Source organism: Homo sapiens, chromosome 2 (genome assembly GCF_000001405.40).
Source record: "Homo sapiens chromosome 2, GRCh38.p14 Primary Assembly".
NCBI lineage: Eukaryota > Metazoa > Chordata > Mammalia > Primates > Hominidae > Homo > Homo sapiens.
The window spans coordinates 11,371,864-11,392,958 of record NC_000002.12 but is presented as its reverse complement, the minus strand read 5'-3'; the positions used below and the strand labels follow the sequence as shown (position 1 = coordinate 11,392,958).

Sequence of the window (21,095 nt, the reverse complement as noted above, 5' to 3'; positions counted from 1 at the left end):
AGCTAATTTTTGTATTTTTTGGTAGAGACAGGGTTTCGCCATGTTGGCCAGGCTGGTCTCGAACTCCTGACCTCGTGATCTGCCCACCTCAGCCTCCCAAAGTGCTGGGATTACAGGCATGAGCCACTGCGCCTGGCCTAATTATTAACCCACTTTTTCTTCTGAATAAACTAAGGCTAGGGGAGATCAAACTGGTACAAGTCACACAGCAGCATGTCACAGAGTTGGGACCTGAACTCGGCAGGTCTGATTTCCTTGTGCCCGCTCTTAACTGTCACATCGCCCTGCCTCTGTAGATTAAATGCAGTTTTCAATTCTGACATCCTGATCTCCCCAAGTAAAAGTGTGGTGGCCGGGTGTTGCAGCTCATGCCTGTAATCCCAGCATTTTGGGAGGTTGAGGCAGGCAGATGGCTTGAGCTCAGGAGTTCGAGACCAGCCTGGGCAACAGTCTGTGAATCCCTGTCTCTACAAAAAATACAAAAATTAGTTGGGCATAGTGGCATGTGCCTATAGTCCCAGCTCCTCAGGAGGCTGAGGTGAGAGGATGGCTTGAACCTCAGAGGCGGAGGCTGCAGTGAGCCAAGAATGTGCCACTGCACTCCAGCCTGGGTGACAGAGCAAGACTCTGTCTTAAAAAAATAGAAATTTAAAAAGTGTGGCAACCCTGGGTTGGAACCTTGTGTTTTCTTAAAGAACTTATCCTGGCCTAGAAGTCTGGAGGCCTGAATGCCATTGGTGTAACTTGTCAGATTCATCTGACACTTGCTTGGGGAGATGTACTTGAGTTACCCAATGTCATCCAGCAAGTTGGAAGCAAAATTAGACAGGGAAAAGACCTGGCCGAGTAGAATTTCAGCATCTGTGAGATATGAAAATTTGGGAATTTCCTTTGGTTTGGACAATGGCTGACTACAGGAAAGGCAACCTCTAGAAATAAATTCAGAAAACAATTCTTTCAACCTATGTTTCCCCAGGGACATCCCGGCTTCGACAATGTACTTCTGTGCAGCTCCAGGAATGCCTCTGCATTCCTCAGCAGAGTGGGAATTTCCAGTCCTGGTTCCTGGAGGCGCGTTCTCACCTCTCCCTGCTGTACTGCCTCCCACTCAGGAACTTCTTTCCCGTTGGCTGTCTCCATGGTGAAACCAAGGGAAAGAGAGAGTTTAGATGGTTGCCATGGCAACAACAAAGGCGCTGTGGTTTCCTTGGTGATACCGGGAAGGTAGAGGCGGCAGGGCTCCAGGGATCTGTTCCCCACACCAGTTACCCTGCCTAGCTCACATCCTGGGCTGCCTGGATTAGGACCATGCATGACAATAATAGCAAAACCTTCCAGATGACAGACACTCTCAGGGCCAGTGAGGCAGTGCTCTGTTCGGACTGTGGGTCCAGGCACACTCGGTCTGGGGCATGTTATTTCACCCTTCAGGCTCTGTTGCCTCATCTGTAAAATGGGGCTAATCATAGGATCAACTCGTTAGGGTTATGAGGAAAGGAAATGTGAAGTGCTTAGCTTGTGGTGAGTGGGAGTCAATTTGAACCATGATGATTACATGGTAACTATTGCTATTACAGACTAATAACCCGTGTCAGTACAGTGCAGAGAGGGAGGCAAGGCAGGTTAATAAAGCCATCTTGGGCCAGGCGTGGTGGCTCACACCTGTAATCCCAGCACTTTGGGAGGCCGAGGCGGATGGATCGCCTGAGGTCGGGAGTTCGAGACCAGCCTGGCCAACATGGCAAAACCCTGTCTCTACTAAAAATACAAAAATTAGGCGGGCGTAGTGGCAGGCGCCTATTATGCCAGCTACTCGGGAGGCTGAGGCAGGAGAATCACTTGAACCCCGGAGGCGGAGGTTGCAGTGAGCCGAGATGGCACTATTGCACTCTAGCCTGGGCAACAAGAGCGAAACTCCGTCTCAAAAAAAATAAATAAATAAAAATAAGGCCATCTTGGAGATGAGGAAGCTGGAGGTCAGGGTTGGTAAGTGGGTCAGCCTGAGTCCCACCATCGTCAAGAGCTGGTGCTGGAGTGAGAAGTCAGGCATGTGGACCCAGAGTTCAGTGCTCTTTTCACCACACACCTACACCCCCCCCTCGAATGGTATACACTTGGCCACCAGCTGGGCCTGCTTTCCTCACCTCGATCAGAGACCCTGAAAGCAGAGTATCAGCCCCTACTCCTGCCCCATGTCACTTGGTTTGCACCATAGGCCTGGACCAAGGCCACACAAGCATCTAGATGATTCTCAAAGCAATTAAGAAGCACAAAAAGGGAAGACTGAGCAAATTCAGTGAAGTCTCCCCATTCCGTGATTACTGGGAATTAGTCTCCACTGAAGGCTGGGCTGCCGGTGACTGACAGAGGGCTTCACGTTTCAGTGAGTGGTTTTTGCATCATGTAACCTCTCCCAGCATTCCTCAATCATACAATTTACACATTATTAAAGTTTCACTTGTGTGATCTAGTCGTTATTTAGAAGGTGACACATCATCATTCTCGGAAGACTTACCAGCTTTAGAACTAACCTGATTTATAATCAAATTCTAAATTCCACCCACTTCATTCTAAAATGTGAGTTTGGATGACTTCATTAACCTCTTTGAGCATCAGTTTTCCTGATCTGTAAGAGGGGCACGTAATGCTATCTCTTGACAGATTCCTTGCGAAGCTGAGAGGTGCTGTATGTATAACACCTGGTACGTTAGAAGTCATTCAACACGTGGTAGCCTTTCTTATTAAACACAGACGAGCTCATCACCGTTCTCGTTAGTCCCCCATTGGGGTGGATGCCCCGTGGCGGAATCGGGCTGCACAGGGTTCTGTGACAAGGTGAGCTCAGGAATGTGTTGCTGACGTCAGTGCAGGCTCTTGCTTGCCTCACACGCAGGTAATTATTTTAGTCTTCAGCTGAATCATCACTCTCTAGGCCAGACAGCAAAGCAAGCTGCCTGGCTCAAATCTGCAGGGCTGTCTGGGAGTGCCCATCTTGGGGCCATTGGTCACAGCCACAGGGGTGGGTCCCTGGCTGCAGGTTTGGATTGCATGGTCCTCCCTGGTGCCCCTGCCTAACAGCATGGAAAGTTAATATGTGACCAAAACCCGCCAATGAACTTGTATCTCCTAGGAATTTGGGATTGAGTCCAAGAGAGAGTTTAGTTAGTATCTTGATGTGGTTAAAATGTTTATATATAAAGCTTGGAATGCAGAATTGGCCATTGGCCACTTGATCCAGGCACTTGATCCAGGGAAAGACACACACGCATGCGCACATACATTCACACAAGTGCACACACACGCACGCACGAATACACAGATGCAGAATTCAGGGACAGATATCCCAGATCATGTGTCTGATCCTTTCTGGGTCCTGGGAGCATTTCTGACCTTGGGTTTGGTGAAATACCTTAAAATACATTCTTCCTTCTGGATTTTGTTATTGTCGTTAAACTAGGTCAAGTTTATTTCTACTATTTGCCACCAAGAGAAGGGAGATGGCCTATGAAGGGCAGGGCTGTGCTGCGATACGTTGAAAGAATTTGATTAACCAAGGTTCTACTCCTCAGGCTTTCGTTTAAATAATAATAAAGAAACTCTCACATGCTGAGCAAAGGGATTATCATGACCTTTTCTCATAGCAGATCCTCCTCAGCAGAGGGACCTCTGCAAAGGCAGACTGACACCACTTTTCGAAGCCTCAGCAACCGCATTTAAGCAGTTACTGGTTTTCACTGTTGCCTGATAAGCTCAATGCCCTCCGGGTGCAGGAAAGATCTGGAAAGCAAAATATGAAATGCACCCATGTACTGCCTGCCGCGGTTAGGGTTTCTGACTAAATTAGTTCCTGTGGAAGCAGCAAGCAATGCTTCCCTCTATGCTGGAAGCTGTCTGTGATAGTCACCATAATCAATGAGAAAAGCCCAGGGTTTGGGGATTGCCCCAGAAAACCAGCCATCCATCCCCACCACCCTCCAGGATGGGGATTCAGAAGCACTCAGGAAAGTGCCCAAGATGACGGCCCATCAAGAAGTCAGCACCAGGCCAAAGGTCATGGGGCTCAGAGGGAGGAGGCTCAGGGGTGCAGGGCCACCTTTCCTGCCTCTGAAGGACTGTCTCGAGGAAGGAGTGGGAGGGAGGAGCTGGTACAGGTCGTTTATAGGCAGGATGTTTGTTAAGGAGTGCCATCTGCACCTGCCCTGGAAAAGAGGGAGGAAGGAAGCAGGATTGGGCAAAAGGAGAAGGTGAGGCCCAATGACAGACTCGCTGACCACAGAAAGCCCAGAAGCTAGAATGGCCCTCACAGCTGGTGAGCCCAGCTGACCAAGCCCTTATACCTTCCCCATTGGATGTGGGCCACCCCAAAAGGGCATGACCTTGGGCCAACCAGCTCTCTGCAGCTGAGGCAAATCCTGAAGGGGCTGACAGCTTTGTCTGTAGACAGCATTCCCACGAGCCAGGGAAGCAAGTTTTTTGGCGAAGGGGCGTCTGGGTGACACATCACAGTGTCCACCTAAGGTACCCCCTGCAGAAGGCAGAACAGAAACCACTCGGAGGAAACTACAGGAAGCCAGATCCTGGTGCAGGCTGCTGTACTGGCTGCAGCTGCTTGTCCTCTTTTTATTAGAATTAGTGGGGAGGCTATTAGGCTGAGAGAGCTCCAACACCTCAGGTTCCTAAGCAAAGAAAAGCCCAACTCAGTGAAAAGAGTAAAATGAAACTTATGCTTAACCAATCGCAAACTGCCAGCGAATCTCTAACTACAGGCTTTTCACTTTAACTAATCAAATATTTTATTTGTCTTCGTTGTGCAAACACCTTATAAAGGTTTTCCCCTTGCGTGGCCTCGACGGAATCCTGAACAGCTAGCAGTCGGGTGCTGCCTGATACATGAATTGCTGAGCTTAATGTTCAAATAAACTTGTTAAAATCCTAATGTGCCCATGTTTACTTTTAACATTGAACCTATATGTACAAAGCGCCCATATACACTATCCCTTTGCCAAACACTTGATAAACACAGTTCCTGTCCAGAGTAGATAGTGGAACAGTTCAAACACAGAAGTATTTTACTCCCCACTGTGTGCCAGGCATCTAGTCTATAGAGGCATAGGAGCTCAAATAAAATTTTAACAAGTAAAACTCTCACCAAAATTGTCTAGGTAAGATTTTTTTAAACAAAGATGCTGGTTGGCTGGGCACGGTGGCTCACGCCTGTAATCCCAACACTTTGGGAGGTTGAGGTGGGCGGATCACCGAAGGCCAGAAGTTTGAGACCAGCCTGGCCAACATGGAGAAACCCCATCTCTACTAAAAAATACAAAATCAGCTGGGTGTGGTGGCACATGCCTGTAATCCCAGCTACTCGGGAGGCTGAGGTAGGAGAATCACTTGAACCCGGGAAGCGGAGGTTGCAGTGAGCTGAAATCGCATCATTGCCCTCCAGCCTGGGCAACAAGAGTGAAACTCTGTCTCAACAAAAAGAAAAAAAAAAGAAAAAAGATGCTGGTTGAGGAATTAGAAAGCCTAAATTTGAATCCAGGCTCTGCTGGCTATGTGACCTTGGTAAAATCTCTAAGCCTGTCTGAGCCAAATCTAAAAATGGCAGTCCCAATACCTACCCGTGTAAGGTTGAAGCGAGATGAATAGGTTAACACGTAGGCTGGCACCGCCCATGACAGACAGCAAGGACGCAGACTGCTAGTGGTCTTTCTTCCTCTGATAACCACTCAGCCACTACGGATACTGTGAAAGTTATTGTTCCAACCAGAAGGGCCGTAAACTGTTTTTTATGGCCTAATGAAAGCCAGATGCCAAACGGGGAACCACAGAACCAACGTTCAGTCCTGAAACCTCTGGAACGCATGAGCTGCTTGGTGTCTGATGATTTCCATCACCCTTGGTCTAGAGATAGAGAAGAATTAAATACTTTATCTTGGGTGCTGGTTCAAATCTGGCCAAGGTCCACCTGGACTCAGTCATTCTGAGAGACCCTGGTCAGACAGCATCCTTGTGAAATCAAGTAAGCAGCTACTACAAGCAATCCAACACACACACACACACACACACACACACACACACACACACACACACACAGACAGCCTCACAGATAACTATCTGCAAAATGGGCAGAGCTCAGATTAAAACATAAAAACCAAACTCATCTTGAGGATGAGACAGAGCCATTTGTGGCTCTGATAATTAGAAGAATTGAAGTCATCTTTGCCACCCAAGTTTGCTGAAAGTGGGAGGCAAGCAGAATATTTTTATTTCTGGTGACCTAAAAATGCTATGTTATAAACAGAACAGTTGAAAATCCCAAGCAGCAGCCTGATTTTACAGCCAAGGAAACTAAAGCCCAGAGAGGGCTGGTAACTTGTTAAAGACACACAGGCCATTGTGGCTGGTTGAGTGGGGGTCGGAGTCCCAGTCCATGGCACTGCCCTGTGCTTTCTCTTAATCGTGGGGGTAGGCGGCCGGGGTGTGGCTGGCAGTGCTCTTGAGCAGTGCCAGTCCTGACTCACCATCCTGTGCTATTTCTGGCTTTGCAAGCAGTGAAGAGAGATGGGGAAGAAGGGTCGGAAGTGGGAAAGTGGAATGGAGGCTGTATCCATTTCCCCAGGGCTGCCGTATCGAGGCACCACAAACTGAAGGGCTTAAACAGCAGGAATTTATTTCCCTACAGCTCCGGAGGCTAGAAATCTGAAGGCAAGGTGTAGGCAGCGTTGCTTCATTCCAGGGCTCTTTCCTTGGCTCACAGGTGGCCATCTTCATCTTCACACGGTGTCCTTCTGTGTATGTCTGTGTCCAAATTTCCCCCTTCTGTAAGGACACCAGGCATATTGGATGAGGCACCCACCCGACTCCAAGATGACCTCATCTCCACTTATCACATCTGAAACAACCCTATTTCCAAATTAGGTCACATTCTGAGGTCCTGGGGATCAGGACTTCAGAGCATGAATTTGGGAGCTGGAGGGACACAATTCAGTCCCTAACAGAGGGCTCTCCTTTGTGAATTAGTCCAGAGGGACAAACAGACCCACAGGCTGGTAAGCCCAGACATTTCCCATGTGTCTTTGGCAACTTGACATATAACATTATGGATCAATGAGAAAAGGATGGTCTAGTCAATAAACAACCCGAATAACCCAGCAATTTCACTCCCAGGCACATACACTCAGCTCTAGTTAGCAAATGTGACACCGAACCTTGTGTGAGAATATTCATTGCAGCATTGTTGATTATCTCCCAAAAAATTATCTGTAGGAGAAAGAGCATGTAGGAGGTTGTTACAGGCCAAAATAAATGTGCCCCCCAAAATTCATATGTTGAAGCCCTAACCCAGCACTCTCAGAATGTGACTGTATGTGGAGACAGGGCCTTCAAAGAGGTTGTTAAATTAAAATGAGGTCATTAAGGTGGGCCCAGATTCCATCGGACTGGCATCCTTAGAAGAAGAAGCCATTAGGAGAGACACATACAGAGGGCCGGCCATGTGGAGACAGAGGGAAAGGAACCAGCCTGCTCACACCTTGGTCTTGGACTTCAGCCTCCAGAGCTATGAGAGAACTACTTTCTGTTGCTTAGGCCCCACAGTTTATGGTACTTTGCTAAGGCATCCCTAGCAAATCAACACAGTGGTATATGTAGAAAGACATGCATAGAAAAGATAAACACCAGCTTTAAAACAGTGGTTACCTCTATAAGGAAGTGAGATGGGACCAGAGAGGGGTACTTAGAAGACTTGGACTATATTTGCAAAACTGTAGTTTGTAAGCTGAGTGGTGAATATCTGGACATTTATGTTATTCTTGCCATTTTTTATTATAAACCCACAGTTACAGGTAAGTGTGACTGCTGTCTGAGTGACCTCTCCTTTCGAGGCAGCCTGGCGTAGAGGGGCTCTAACTATAACTTACTGGGTGACCTTGGGATTGTCACTTCTCTCCTCTGGCTTTAGTTTCTATAACTGGAAAATTTGAAAAATGAATTAATTCAATGTTTCTCAAAGAGTGTTTCATGGAACACTAAGAGTGTGAGATTTTTAAATATATATTCTATACCAAAGAAAAGCTTACCTGATCAAATAATTTTAGGAAGCATTAGATTATCAAAGATGTAATCACCTTGTTTTACTGCAGAAATCTCAAAGACTTTTAATGAGTAGTTAACAGGGGGCTATGGTATGTATACAACAGAGTCCTCTTTTCAAAGAATAGCAATCAGTTTCTTTTTTCTGTTCATTCAAATAAAAGCTCATGTTCCTGATGGTTTTGAAAGAACATCAGTACTTTTCTGCGTGGGCTACTTTATGTAAATGCATATATTTAAAAAGTTTAGGCCGGGCGCAGTGGCTCATGCCTGTAATCCCAGCACTTTGGGAGGCCGAGACAGGCAGGTCGCTTGAGCTCAGGAGTTTGAGACCAGCCTGGGCAACATGGTGAAACCCTGTCTCCACGAAAAATGCAAAAATATCAGCCAGATGTGGTGGCATGCACCTTGTAGTCCCAGCTACTTGGAAGGCTGAGGTGGGAGGATCGCCACCAGGAGGTGGAGGTTGCAGTGAGCCGAAGTCACGCCACTGCACTCCAGCCTGGGCAACAGAGCGAGACACCATCTCAAAAAATAAAACAAAATAAAATTTAATTTTTTTTAAAAAGTTTAAATGACAAGACAAAACAGATAGCTGTCTTATATGCGATAGACCATACAGTGTGAAACGGGGCATTCTTTTTTTTTTCTTTTGAGAAAGGTTCTGTCTCCATTGCCCAGGCTGAAGTGAATGGTGTGATCATAGCTTCCTGGAGCCTCAGCCTCCCAGCTTATGCGATCTTCCCACCTCAGCCTCCCGAGTGGCCAGGGCTACAGGTGCACACCACCATGCCTCACTAATTTAAAAAAAAAATTTTTTTTATAATAAGCTAGGTGTGGTGGCACATGCCTGTAATCTCAGCTACTTGGGAGGCTGAGGCAGGAGACTTGCTTGAACCCGGCAGGCGGAGGTTGCGGTGATCCGAGATCATGCCATTGCCCTCCAGCCTGGGCATCAAGAGCAAAACTCTGCTCAAAAAAAAAAAATTATAAATGGGATCTTGCTATGTTGCCCAGGCTGGTTTTGAACTCCTGGTCTCAAGTCATACTCCCATCTCAGCCTCCCAAAGCGCTGGAATTACAGGCATGGGCCACCATGCCTGGCCAATAAGATTTTCTGTATGTTACATGGACTCTAGTTTTGCAAGATTTTAGTAAGTATTCCATAAAGAAAGAGAGCTGTAGTCAAATAAGTTTGGGAAATATCGGGTTAAGTAGTTATGTTTTTCTTCTTCTAGGACTTGTTGGAGGCTTTAATATTCTAATATTATCATACATTTCTGAAAGAAGGGTAAGGGTGCAATATTCCCCAAATATATGTATGGAACATTTTACTGTAGAAGTTATATAGAACTAATGTTCTGAGAAACACACTTAGGTAAATGGCACTTAACATATTGTGGTATATCTTGTAATGTGTATCATGCCATTAAGTATCTTTCATTTTTATCTTTTTATTTTATTTTTAATTTTAATTTTTATTTTTTTGAGATGGAGTCTCACTTTGTCACCCAGGCTGGGGTGCAGTGGCTCCATCTCGGCTCGTTGCAACCTCTGCCTCCCAGGTTCAAGCAATTCTCCTGCCTCAGCCTCCTGAGTAGCTGGGATTACAGACACATGCCACCACGCCTGGCTAATTTTTGTATGTTTAGTAGAGATGGGGTTTTGCCATGTTGGCCAGGCTGGTCTCAAACTCTTGACCTCAGATGATCTGCGCGCCTTGGCCTCCCAAAGTGCTGAGATTACAGGCATAAGCCACTGCGCCCAGCCCATTAAGTATCTTTTAAGTATGGTTTTTAATGGCTGCACCCTTCCCCAGTGTCTGATGATGCCAAAGTCCTGGAAGTGGAATTAGAGGGTCGAAAGGAATAGGCCTTTTTAAGGCCTTTCATAGGTGTTGTCTAATGCTCTCCAAGAGGCTAGTAATTCACTCTTCTGACCAGCACTGGGTGTTACTATTATCTTTTCAAATTGACACTTTGATTTGGTACCTTAGTAGTAGTTTGATTTGAAAAAAATTTATTTTTTGTTAGCTTTGTATACTAGACGTGGTAGTCAGAATAATGACCCCCCAAAGATGTCCACATCCAGATGCCCAGAACCTGTGACTGTTTTACCTTACATGGAAAAAGGTACTTTGCAGATGTGGTTAAGCTGAGAATCCTGCAATGGGAAGACTAGACTGGATTATTTAGGTGGTCCTCCAAGTGCATCATGAGAGTTCTTATAAGAAGGAGGCAGAGATGTAGCAGAAGATGTGACAACAGAAGCAAGAGATTAGAGTGATGTGTGGAAAGGGCCACAGGCTGGAGAATGCAGGTGACTTCTAGAAGTTAGAAAAGGCAAGGGAACAGTTCTCCCCTCGATTTCAACCCCTTGAGAATGATTTTGGACTTCTCACCTGCAGACAATAAGGGAATACATTTGCAGGGTTTTAACTTAGTTTGTAGTAATTTATTACAGCAGCAATAGGAAATGAATACAACAGAGTATCCAAAATATGTAAAGAATTCCCATAAATCAATAAGGAAAAGACAAACCATTAGAAACACGGTCAAGAGATCAGAACGGATCCTTCACGATCAGATATGTGATTGGTCATTAAGCATATGAAAAAGTGCTTAGCCTCATTAGTTACTAGGGATATGCAAATTATTTAATAAAACCACATTCACCAGAATGAATAAAGCTTAAAAATCTGATAATAGCAATTGTTCATAAGGTGTAGAGCAACAGGAGCTTTCTCACAGTGAGAATATGAACAGATGCAGTCACTCTGGAAAACAGTTCGGCTTTATCCACTAAAACTGAAGACAGACATACCCTACATCCAGCAATTTTACTCCTAAGTAAGTATTCACCAGAAACGTATGCTTACCAAGAGGCCAAGAGGCATGTGGAATATTTAGAGCAGCATTATTTATAAGTACCCCCAAGCTGGAAACAACTTAAACTTCCATCAGAGGTAAAGTAATAAAAATAATTATGGTGGACTCACACAATAGAATACTATGCAGCAAGGAAAATGAAGGAACTACGTACGGTTAATGCAACAATGTACGGATTCTCACAAGCGTAGTATGCAGCAAAAGAAAGCAGATGCAAAAGAATACACACATTCGATTCTAAGTATAAAAAGTTGTTTTGGCCGGGCGCCATGGCTCATGCCTGTAATCCCAGCACTTTGGGAGGCCGAGGCAGGAGGATCACGAGGTCAGGAGATCGAGGCCATCCTGGCTAACACGGTGAAACCCCGTCTCTACTAAAAATACAAAAAATTAGCTGGGCGTAGTGGCGGGCGCCTGTAGTCCCAGCTATTCGGGAGGCTGAGGCAGGAGAATGGCGTGAACCCGGGAGGCGGAGGTTGCAGTGAGCCGAGAGCGCGCCACTGCACTCCAGCCTGGGCGACAGAGCGAGACTCTGTCTCAAAAAAAAAAAAAAGGAAAAAAAAAAGTTGTTTAAAAAACAGGCAAAACTAAGAAGTAATGAATAATAGAATCAGGGTAAGTGTTTACTTTTGAGAAGGAGGAAGGAAGTAGTGACTGGCAGGAGGCATGAGGAGGTATTTCCGGTTCTGGCAATGTCTATTTATTGACCCAGATGATGGATATTGACTAAGCTATACATTTATTTTGTGCCCTTCTCTGTACATAAATTACACTTCACAGGGAAAATTTAAAAAAAAACACACAATGAATTTTTTAATGTACTGTTTGTTTTAACTCTCAGTTCATTCATAACAGTTTAGTTTTTATAATTTAGCTTAGTGTTTTAAAAATATGATTTTTCTAATCATTGCAACAAAAATACTTTCAATAAAGTCTTTCCTCTTGAATTTTAGAATGCCCCACCTTAGCCCAGCATGGTGGCCCATGCCTGTAATCCCAGCATTTTGGACTGCTAAAGTGGAAGGATCACTTGAGCCTGGGCAATGTGGCAAAACTCCATCACTACAAAACTTTTTTTAAAAAATTAGCCAGGCATGATGGTGCCCATCTATAGTCCCAGCTACTCAAGAGGCTGAGATGGGAGGATGAGTTGAGCCCGAGAGGTCATGTTTGCTGAGAGCCATGATTGCACCACTGCACTCCAGCTTGGGTGACACAGCATGACCCTGCCTAAATATATGTATATATATGTATATATACACGTATATATACACGTATATATATATGTATATATACACGTATATATACACGTATATATATATGTATATATACACGTATATATACACGTATATATATATGTATATATACACGTATATATACACGTATATATACGTATATATATACATATATACGTATATATACGTATATATACGTATATATATACATATATATATACGTATATATACGTATATATATATACATATATATACGTATATATACGTATATATATATATACATATATATACGTATATATATATATATGTAAAATCTTGTTAAATGAAAAAGTTTGAGATTAAAAAAAGGCGCAGAGAATGACCCAATGACCCTAGGGTCACATTCAGAGATATATGTATATATATCTCACATGTAGATAAATGACTACAGATAAATATAGCAAGGTCTAATTGAGGTTATCTTTCTGAATTGCTGTTACTGGCATATACTTTTTTCATGTTTTTCTATATTTCAAAATTTTCTGCAAAGAACACTAGCACTAGTTTTACAATCATAAAAAACTGCATGTGTATACACACACATACATATAATGTGTACATGGATACACATATGCATATGTGGTTGGGTGTTTTCTTCAAATGTCAACCATCCACAGACCATGAATGGAGATGCTGGATCCTTGCAGTGAAGCCACTCTGAGGGCTCTGCTGTGGTTTGGGGATGTAGGTGAAGCCATATTTTCATTGGGTTCTTCTTGTACTTGTCCTAAGAGAACAGGGACATCAAAGGTAGAAGTGCCTTCCCTGAGTTATGATGTTCCTGGTGGCCTCTGCCTTTTTGGGAATGTCCTACAAGCATCGTCTGTTTGAGCAGCGTCTGTGGGTCTTTTGCAATACTGTGGTGGAAGCCTCGGTCCATTCCACAACCCAGTGTCTCTTTTACCCTCAGCATGTTTTGGCAGGCACTTCATTCCAGGAAAATGCCCGGCTCTTCAAGTCAATTTGTATGCATTCTTTTGTCAGAAAAAGAAAACTATGTAACTCAATATGTTCCTCCCTTTGTTTTAGCTGCCAGGGAATTCAGACCCAAACTCAAGATGCCTTTATGGTAATCAGCTTTTAGAACTGCTGGGCTCCCCAGGAGTTCGAGACCAGTCTGGGCAACATAGTGAGATTCTGTCTCTACAAAAAATAAAAAATTAGCCAAGTGTGGTGATGCATGACTGTAGTTCCAGCGTCTCGGGAGGCTGAGGTGGGAGAATTGCTTGAACCCAGAAGGTCTAGGCTGCAGTGATGCCATGATGTAGCCATGATGACGTGTAGCCATGATGACGCCACTGCACTCCAGCGTGGGTGACAGAGCAAGACCCTGTCTCAATGATCACTGATTTCCTAAAGCTCCTTTAATTCCTGCTGGTAATACATGGTTACCGTATGCCAGAGCTGAACAAAACAAGGCATGGTGGGGGGCTCCCAACAGCCCAGGGTGTGGCCCAGCCTCAGTAAGAGAAGCAACCTTTCTGGAAGCTTCCAGTCAATGCCAGGCTTCTCTCTCTCCTGCCCATGGCATTTCGAACTCCCACTGTACAACAGATCAATTAGGGTCCCTTGCATCCTGTAGAGATCTCTGTACTGAGGGCCAGAGCCATGTCTGACTTGTCCTTGTCCCCATGGCCTCCTGCAGGCTCTGGGGCACAGCAGATGCCCAGTCAATGTTTACTGAACAAAGGAGGTGGTGAGGGACTCAGTGAGCCTGGCTTAGGCTGTACGCACAGGGCAGGGAGTGAGGTGGGTCCCCTGCCTCCCTTCCCAGAGCTCAGCCACTAGGCAGTGACAGGAGGCATCTATGGGTGAAAGGGAGCAGGCAAGAACCTCACCGCTGCCTGCCTGAATTCTTGTTTATTAAGGGTCTGATCTGGGCCCAGCACCTTTCATATAGTATCTCATTTAGTCTTCTCCTTGGCCCAAATGTGGTGAGAAAACGAGGCTCAGAGAGGCAAAATAGCTTGCCCGGGGTTGTATACGGTTAAGAAGCTCTGCAGGGGCTCATTCTGACTCGAATGGGCCCTCGTTCTGCTTTTAAGGAGAAGGAGCCAGCCTGAACCAGGTAGCCCCTGCTGAGTCCCCACAGGCCCACCGAGACCCTCCCTCATCAGAGGACTGAGAGGAAAGTTCCCAGGAAGTCCAGTGGCTATTTTAGGGGAAGGGACGGGCCATTTATCACAGCAGACAACATTCCCACTTGCTGCTACAACAAACATGGCTATTTCAGAGACTTCAGGCTGGAAAAAGCCCAGGGAGGAAGGGCAGCTTAGCCCGGTTTCGTTTTTGTGAATAAGAGAATGACAGCCATAGAAATAAGGCTGACAGTTCCGAGAGCGTTGGAAAGGGAAACATTTGTGCTTCATCACTCAACCCAGAAACTCTGGCAGAGTTCTAATCTCTGATGGACTCTGTCTGCTTAAAGGCAAAAAAATAATAACCATGAGTGGAGTGGGGAGCATTTCATCGCGTGACACATCAAACACCACCCTTCGCCCCGAGATGACGTCCGAGCCTGCAGAAGCCCTCTCTGTGTGGCTCCAAACACTGAGCATGATTAAATGGGTCATAAATGTTTGCAACCTGGCTGCAAAGGAGGGGAACAAACCGTTCTCCAGGGAGGTTGGAGGCCAGGCCCCTCCTAATCAGAAGGTGATTTTGGCTTTCAACAGGCCAAGGTTTCATACCTTACCACATTTTCTCACTTCCTTAAATGTTCTTTCTCTAATAATTCTGTTTTGTTGTTTGTTTGTTTTGAGACAGTCTCCTGTCTTGGCCCCCCGAGTAGCTGGGATTACAGGTGTGTGCCACCATGCCTAGCTAATTTTTGTATGTTTAGTAGAGACAGGGTTTCACCATGTTGGCCAGGCTGTTCTCGAACTCCTGACCTCAAGTGATCTGCCCACCTCAGCCTCCCAAAGTGCTGGAATTACAGGCATGAGCCACTGCGCCCGGCCTTTCTCTAATAATTCTAAATGTGGGCCACAATCAGGCATTCAACAAATGTTACTGAGCATTGGCCGGGGCAACATGGGGGCAGTCAACCCAGGAGGTCCAAGGAAGTTCCTGGACCTGGGGAAGCTAAATGGATAGGAATTCCCCAAGATGACCTGCCAGACAGTGGGGTCTTGGGTCTTGATGACTAGACCTTCATTAAAAAAATGTTTTTTAAAAACATTTTTTCTTAGAGACAAATTTTTTAAAAACATTTTTTCTTTCTCATTCTGTCGCCCAGGCGGGAGTGCAGTGGTGTGATTACAGCTCACTGCAACCTTAAACTGCTGGACTCAAGCCACTCTCCTGCCTCAGCCTCCCTCGTAGCTGGGACTACAGGCACTCACCACTGCACCTGACTATTTTTTAAAAGTTTTTGTAGAGACGGGGTATCATTATGTTGCCCCGGCTGGTCTTGAAGTCCTGGCCTCAAGTGATCCTCCCGCCTGCGCCTCCCAAAGTGCTGGGATTACAGGCATGAGCCACGTGCCCAGTCCCGAGACCTTCATTTTTCTAAAAAAATTTTTTAAATATTCTTTTAAAGTAAATGTCCTGTGGCATCCGGCCAGCTACAGTTGCACTGAAAAGAAACACAAGATGTACCTGCCTCTCCCCAGAGGCTCTGGTTGCACGGAGGTTCAGGGGAAGGCAGACAGGGAGGAGGGGCTGCTGTTGACCTGCGTTCCCTGCTCTGATCTCTCGCTTATTCCTTTGCAAATCTCTTCTGAGCCATTGCGCCATCTGAGCTTCATAACGGCCTTGTGAAGAGAAACCATGAGATACAGAACAAAAGCAAAGGCTTCCTGTAGAGAAGCCATAGGGCTTTGAGATAAAACTGAACCTATTTTTTACCAAGGTTTATTGTTTCTCTTTCTCAAGTACTGTACCATTGTTTTTTAATAACAGCTTTATTAAGCTATAGTTCACATACTATAAAATGTCCCCCTTTTAAGTTGTACAAGTCAATGGTTTTTAGTGCAGTCACAGAGTTGGATAACCATCACCATTGTCTAATTCTAAAATATTTTTATTACTCTAAAAAGAAATCCTGTACCTATTAGCAGTCACTCTCTACTCCCCGCTTCTCTGGGCCACTTTTTTGAAGGGAACAGCTGATGCCACCTCAGCTCAGGACCAGGGAGGGCCTTTTGTTTTATAAAGAAGTTAATGGGAGCCAAGGGTAGGAGAGGTCTTGGCCTGAGATCCCACTGGAGCTAGTGGCAGGGACAAGGAGAGCGTCCTAGTGAGGTCCACAGCTCAGCACTACAGGGCCTTGGGAGGCTGGTGGGTGAATCAGATCAGTGCCCCCCCAGGGGTACCAGGGAACTTGTTAAAACACAGATTTTGTTGGGGAATTCTGACGAGAGCCTCCAGGTCTGCCAAGCTCTCAGGGGATGCGAGGCGGCATCAGAGAGGCCTTGATGTGAAGTCGAATGACCTCTGGACTCAGAGTCACTCAGATTTGGAGTCAGACAGACCGGGATGTGGACTCAGCATCCCCCAGCATTTGTCACTTCAACGAAGCTCTTTCCATCACAAGAACAAAGTCTCACCCAAAGTAGTTTAAGCAAGAAAGGGAAAGTTACTGGAAGTGTAACTGGGGTGTTCTACTTCAGAGTTTGAAGCCAGGTCTCAGATGGCAATATTTACTTTATGAAGCCAGTGGATTCCCCTTCTAAGTCCAGAAAGCCCCATGTGACAGGCAGTATGGGTGGGGAGGCTGGAAGGAATGGGAGAGCCCAGTCTCACTGCCTTAACCTGGAAAATCCAACTGCCCAGAAGTACCTGGATGCTCACAGGAGCTGCTTTCTAAGTCATGAGGGAAGCACCATAGCTGGCTCCGGCCCTGGCTCTCACACACGATAGCCATCAGCGGCCCCACTGCCCTTCTCCAACGCTGGTTTTGGCTGGGACATACGGAGGGGCTGGCTTTGCCATGTCGGGGCTTGCCCCTGCCTCCCCGTCTAAGTGAGGCTACTCAGGATCTGCCCTCTAGGGACCTTCTGTCTTTGTGTCTCCAGATAGCAGCTGGTAGATTTTTCCAGTAAGTTTTTTTTTTAAAAAATCTTCCAATAGGCTATTGTGTTACATAAATTTAAACCCTAATAGAACATTCTGTTTCAAAAAGATAGAGCAGTAGAATCTCCGGGAACCAAAGGCTTCGAGAGTGACTGGAACAGGGAAGCTGGCAGAACCATCTGTCAGGACTTCTGGGGTCATTGTGTGACAGTTTCATTGACTGCTCTGCAGAGAAGCTTCCTTTGCTTCTGTTTGAGATGACAAGCTCAGCTGCCCAGGCCTGGCCTCACTGGGCTCCCCAGTCAAGGGCCCAACAGAGGCTAAGAAGGGAATCTGGAAGCAAAACTTTCGGAGAGAATATGTTATTGGCTTAGCCTGGGTCACCGGCCCATCGCTGGTCCAATTAACCAAGGCCAGGGTAACGAAGTCACACTGAGTGATCATGGCTGTGGGTGGGATTCGTTCACAAAGTAAAGGGCATAAGTTGGAGAGGCAGATACCCCAAAGCTTGTCTAGAATAGCCCGTTACCTTACACAGAACAAATGCATTGGAGCCATCACTGCGTTTTAAAATATGGATAGTAACAGCCACGCCTCTGAGTTTCCGTGGGCGCGCGTGAGTTGTTGCCTACACAGGGGCTGGTTACCGTTCTTCAGGAAGTGGCCATTTCCAGCCCGTAAGCTCCTCAGGGCCCTGAGAGCCGGGGTAGGGGAGGCAGAGGCTTTGCACGGGCCCTTCACACGCCCAGCTGGAAGGCAGCACCCAGCTCCAGTGCCGTGCGAAGTGGTGCCAAGTCCACACCACACCGTTGGAGAGACGCCAGGCCATTCACAGGTTGTCTCTGAGACACTAACAGTCATAAATACTCAGCTTTGAGATGAGCTTGCCTTGGCCCAGCCCACTATAAATAGGCCTCTTTATTTCCCTGCCTTCACGCTAGGGAGAAAGAACAGCAGAACTGGGGAAGAAGGACATTCCAGAAATGCCACAGAGACCTCAAGAGAGCGCTGCACTGTGTCTGCCTCACACGAGAGAAACGAGCTGCAGGAAGAGACCCAGGGCTCCACGGCCGCTGGATGAGGGGAGGGCCTGTCCTGGCTCTCACAGGGCCCCAGGGGCGAGGGCAGGGGCCAGGCCCTCTGCCCCAGGCCTGTGATCTTTCCACCATGTCAAGTCTACTCGAATTTAACGTGGTGGAATTTTGCTCAGTGTGTCATTCTGAGTGAGCTCCAAAGATGTCAGATTGCCCGCAGATTCGCGGGGGGAGCGGCTGTGTTCATTTTAAACAGACTCATTTTCAAACAAATCGTCTCCATCCAAGTATATCAAGAAGGAAGTCCTGCTTCTAATGGTAGACTTGTTTACTCAATGGGAAAAAATATGTATAACTTTTCAATCCCACAGCTGCTGAGGCATGCACTGGGGACACCAAGTTTCTTTCTCTTTCTTTCTTTCTTTCTTTCTTTCTTTCTTTCTTTCTTTCTTTCTTTCTTTCTTTCTTTCTTTCTTTCTTTTCTTTCTCTTTCTTTCTTTCTTTTCTTTCTTTCTCTTTCTTTCTTTCTTTCCTTCTTTCCTTCTTTCTTTCTTTCTCTCTCTCTCTCTCTCTCTCTCTCTCTTTCTTTCTTTCTTTCTTTCCTTCTTTCTTTCTTTCCTTCTTTCACGAGTCTCACTGTGTCACCCAGGCTGGAGTGCAGTGGTGTGATCTCATCTCACTGCAACCTCCGCCTCCTGGGTTCAAGCAATTCTCATGCCTCAACCTCCTGAGTAGCTTTGATTACAGGCGCGTGCCACCATGTCTGGCTAATTTTTGTATTCTTAGTAGAGATGGGGTTTCCCCATGTTGGCCAGGCTGGTCTGGAACTCCTGACCTCAGGTGATCCACCTGCCTCGGCCTCCCAAAGTGCTGGGATTACAGGCATAAGCCACTGTACCTGGCCATCACCAAGTTTCAAAAGAGAAAAGAGAGGGCCCTCCTGCTGGGGCTTCACCCTCAGTTCCTCCCAATTGACTGGCATCTTGACATGATCTCTTTTGGTTTGAGAAAGTAAAGGTGAAACCTTTGCAGGCACATTTTTTTTCCAATCTGGATGAGTTAAAAACATGTACACAAACACACACACAAACACACAAACACACACCCCAGCCCCTCCACTTAGGAATTCCTAGTGAGTTGTATTTTTTCCGCTTGTTTCCCCTTAATAATCTTCATGTTGATTTGTGCCTGCTGACACCATTTGTGTGCAAGGTTTAGGTCGGGAACAGCTCTTCCCAGTACCACTGTTTCGTTTCTTTCCAATCACAGACAGTAGGGTCAGAGGTTAGGGCTGGAGGTAGAAAAAGGAGGCCACAGTTTATGTGTGCCTGTGTCACCTATTTTGGGCATGGGACTTCTGAGTCACCACCTAAATTAAACACAGGTGTTCTTAGCAGCCCAGCCTGCCCAGCGATGTTGCTAGGAGCCTTCGAGGGGGAGACTGTCCTCTCAAGAGCATTGAAACTGGCAGAAAAGCACTTTTAAGATAAGGCCCCCAAAGTGACATCTTGGTAAGGAATGAATTTTGGTCATTCCTTGGCAAGGTCTGGTTTCAAATCTTGGTCTCAGAACCTTCTATTCTCTGATATAGACGGCAGCTCACTTATCTCAATTTTGTAACCTGTAAGATGGTTCTCTAATTCATAAATCGCAAGGTTGTTATATAAATGGAAGACAGTGACCGTTAAATGCCCACACACAGTAGGTGCTTAGCAGATGGTATGTGCCATTATTGGCATCCATTCTGGAATTAAGCTTTGTGTTCATTGTGTTTTCCACCCTCAGACCCTCAACCTAAGCTCTTGGATGGCAAGGGCTGATCTACTCACGTTTGAAATTCTCAAAGAACAGGAAGGTGTGTAGCTAGCTGTCAGCAAATCCTTGTGGGTGAACCCACCAGCACTTGGGCCTCCCTCTGCCACCCAAACCCTATCTTGACACACACACCTTAGAGGACTGTGCTTCCAGATGTCCCCTCACACACGTCAATGGTGATGGTCGGTAGAGTAAGAGATAGACACTTGGCAAGAAGCAGAAACCTAGAAAAGCACAGCATATTTTGGTTTAAGTGGCAAAGGCATCAATGAAGAGGACAGCCTGGGGACGGTCGAATTCTCAGAAAGCTGTCAAAGGTGAGAACTGCAGAGTCTCCAAGGCAAGGTCATTGGGAGGGCAGGGGCTGCAGAGGTCTGGGTGCAAGTGTGTCTGTGGGCATGGAAGGGTAAGACCATTCCCATTTATTGATGAAATACCACTGAGGGTCTTCTATGTGCCAGGTGCAGGGCTGGGTGCTGCAGATGCAATGGAGAATGAGACACAGCCAATGGAAACAGAGACAAAGAAGAGGTCATGGCAAGAGTCTGTGTGGCACCAGGAGCGGGTACACAATGCTCAGAGAGCACACAGGAGGTTGGGGAGAGGTGCTGGGCAGTGACAGCCCTCCTGGGACCTGAGGATTGAGAAAAGGAGTCAGCCTGGCCACAGGAGGAAGAACATTCTGAACAAAGAGGATTGCACTTTAAAAGGCTGAGCGTACTTGGTTTGCATGTGGAAGTCGAAGCTTACAGAAGCCTGTGGTTCTAGGGGCTGGCACTGGGGCAGACCTGTTGGATCCAGCAGTGGGTGCCCTGAGGGGAGTCTCTTGGGTGGCAGGCTGGGCATTCCAGGAAGCGTCCTTCCTTGGGGGTGATAGCACTCAGCGTCAGCAGGGATGGAGGGGGTGAGAAGTGCCCTGAGGACGAGAGCAGGGAGGCCTAAGACAGAGAAGCAGCTTTACCTGTGGCAGGCTC

General features: G+C 46.3%; 1 long non-coding RNA gene across 1 annotated transcript, besides 3 other annotated features; it reads right to left on the bottom strand.

Annotated features, from left to right (window-relative positions):
* Positions 2,404-3,603: an enhancer, noted in NCBI's record as "BRD4-independent group 4 enhancer chr2:11529482-11530681 (GRCh37/hg19 assembly coordinates)". NCBI's record gives its function as "activates an origin of replication core promoter dependent on BRD2, P300/CBP, MED14 and CDK7 cofactors, and independent of BRD4, by STARR-seq in HCT116 cells {active_cell/tissue: HCT116}" and the evidence as "EXISTENCE:reporter gene assay evidence [ECO:0000049][PMID:35650434]".
* LOC124907734 (uncharacterized) lies at positions 6,649-7,958 on the bottom strand. Its single transcript, XR_007086217.1, has 2 exons — positions 7,212-7,958; positions 6,649-6,822 (listed from the first exon to the last, which is right to left on the bottom strand). It is a non-coding gene; the product is annotated as an uncharacterized LOC124907734 (long non-coding RNA).
* Positions 14,549-14,758: an enhancer, noted in NCBI's record as "active region_15318". NCBI's record gives its function as "activates an Ori minimal core promoter by ATAC-STARR-seq in GM12878 lymphoblastoid cells {active_cell/tissue: GM12878}" and the evidence as "EXISTENCE:reporter gene assay evidence [ECO:0000049][PMID:35858748]".
* Positions 16,656-17,214: an enhancer, noted in NCBI's record as "H3K4me1 hESC enhancer chr2:11515871-11516429 (GRCh37/hg19 assembly coordinates)". NCBI's record gives its function as "activates a minimal SCP1, AML or CMV promoter by ChIP-STARR-seq in naive H9 embryonic stem cells {active_cell/tissue: H9 hESC(naive)}" and the evidence as "EXISTENCE:reporter gene assay evidence [ECO:0000049][PMID:30033119]".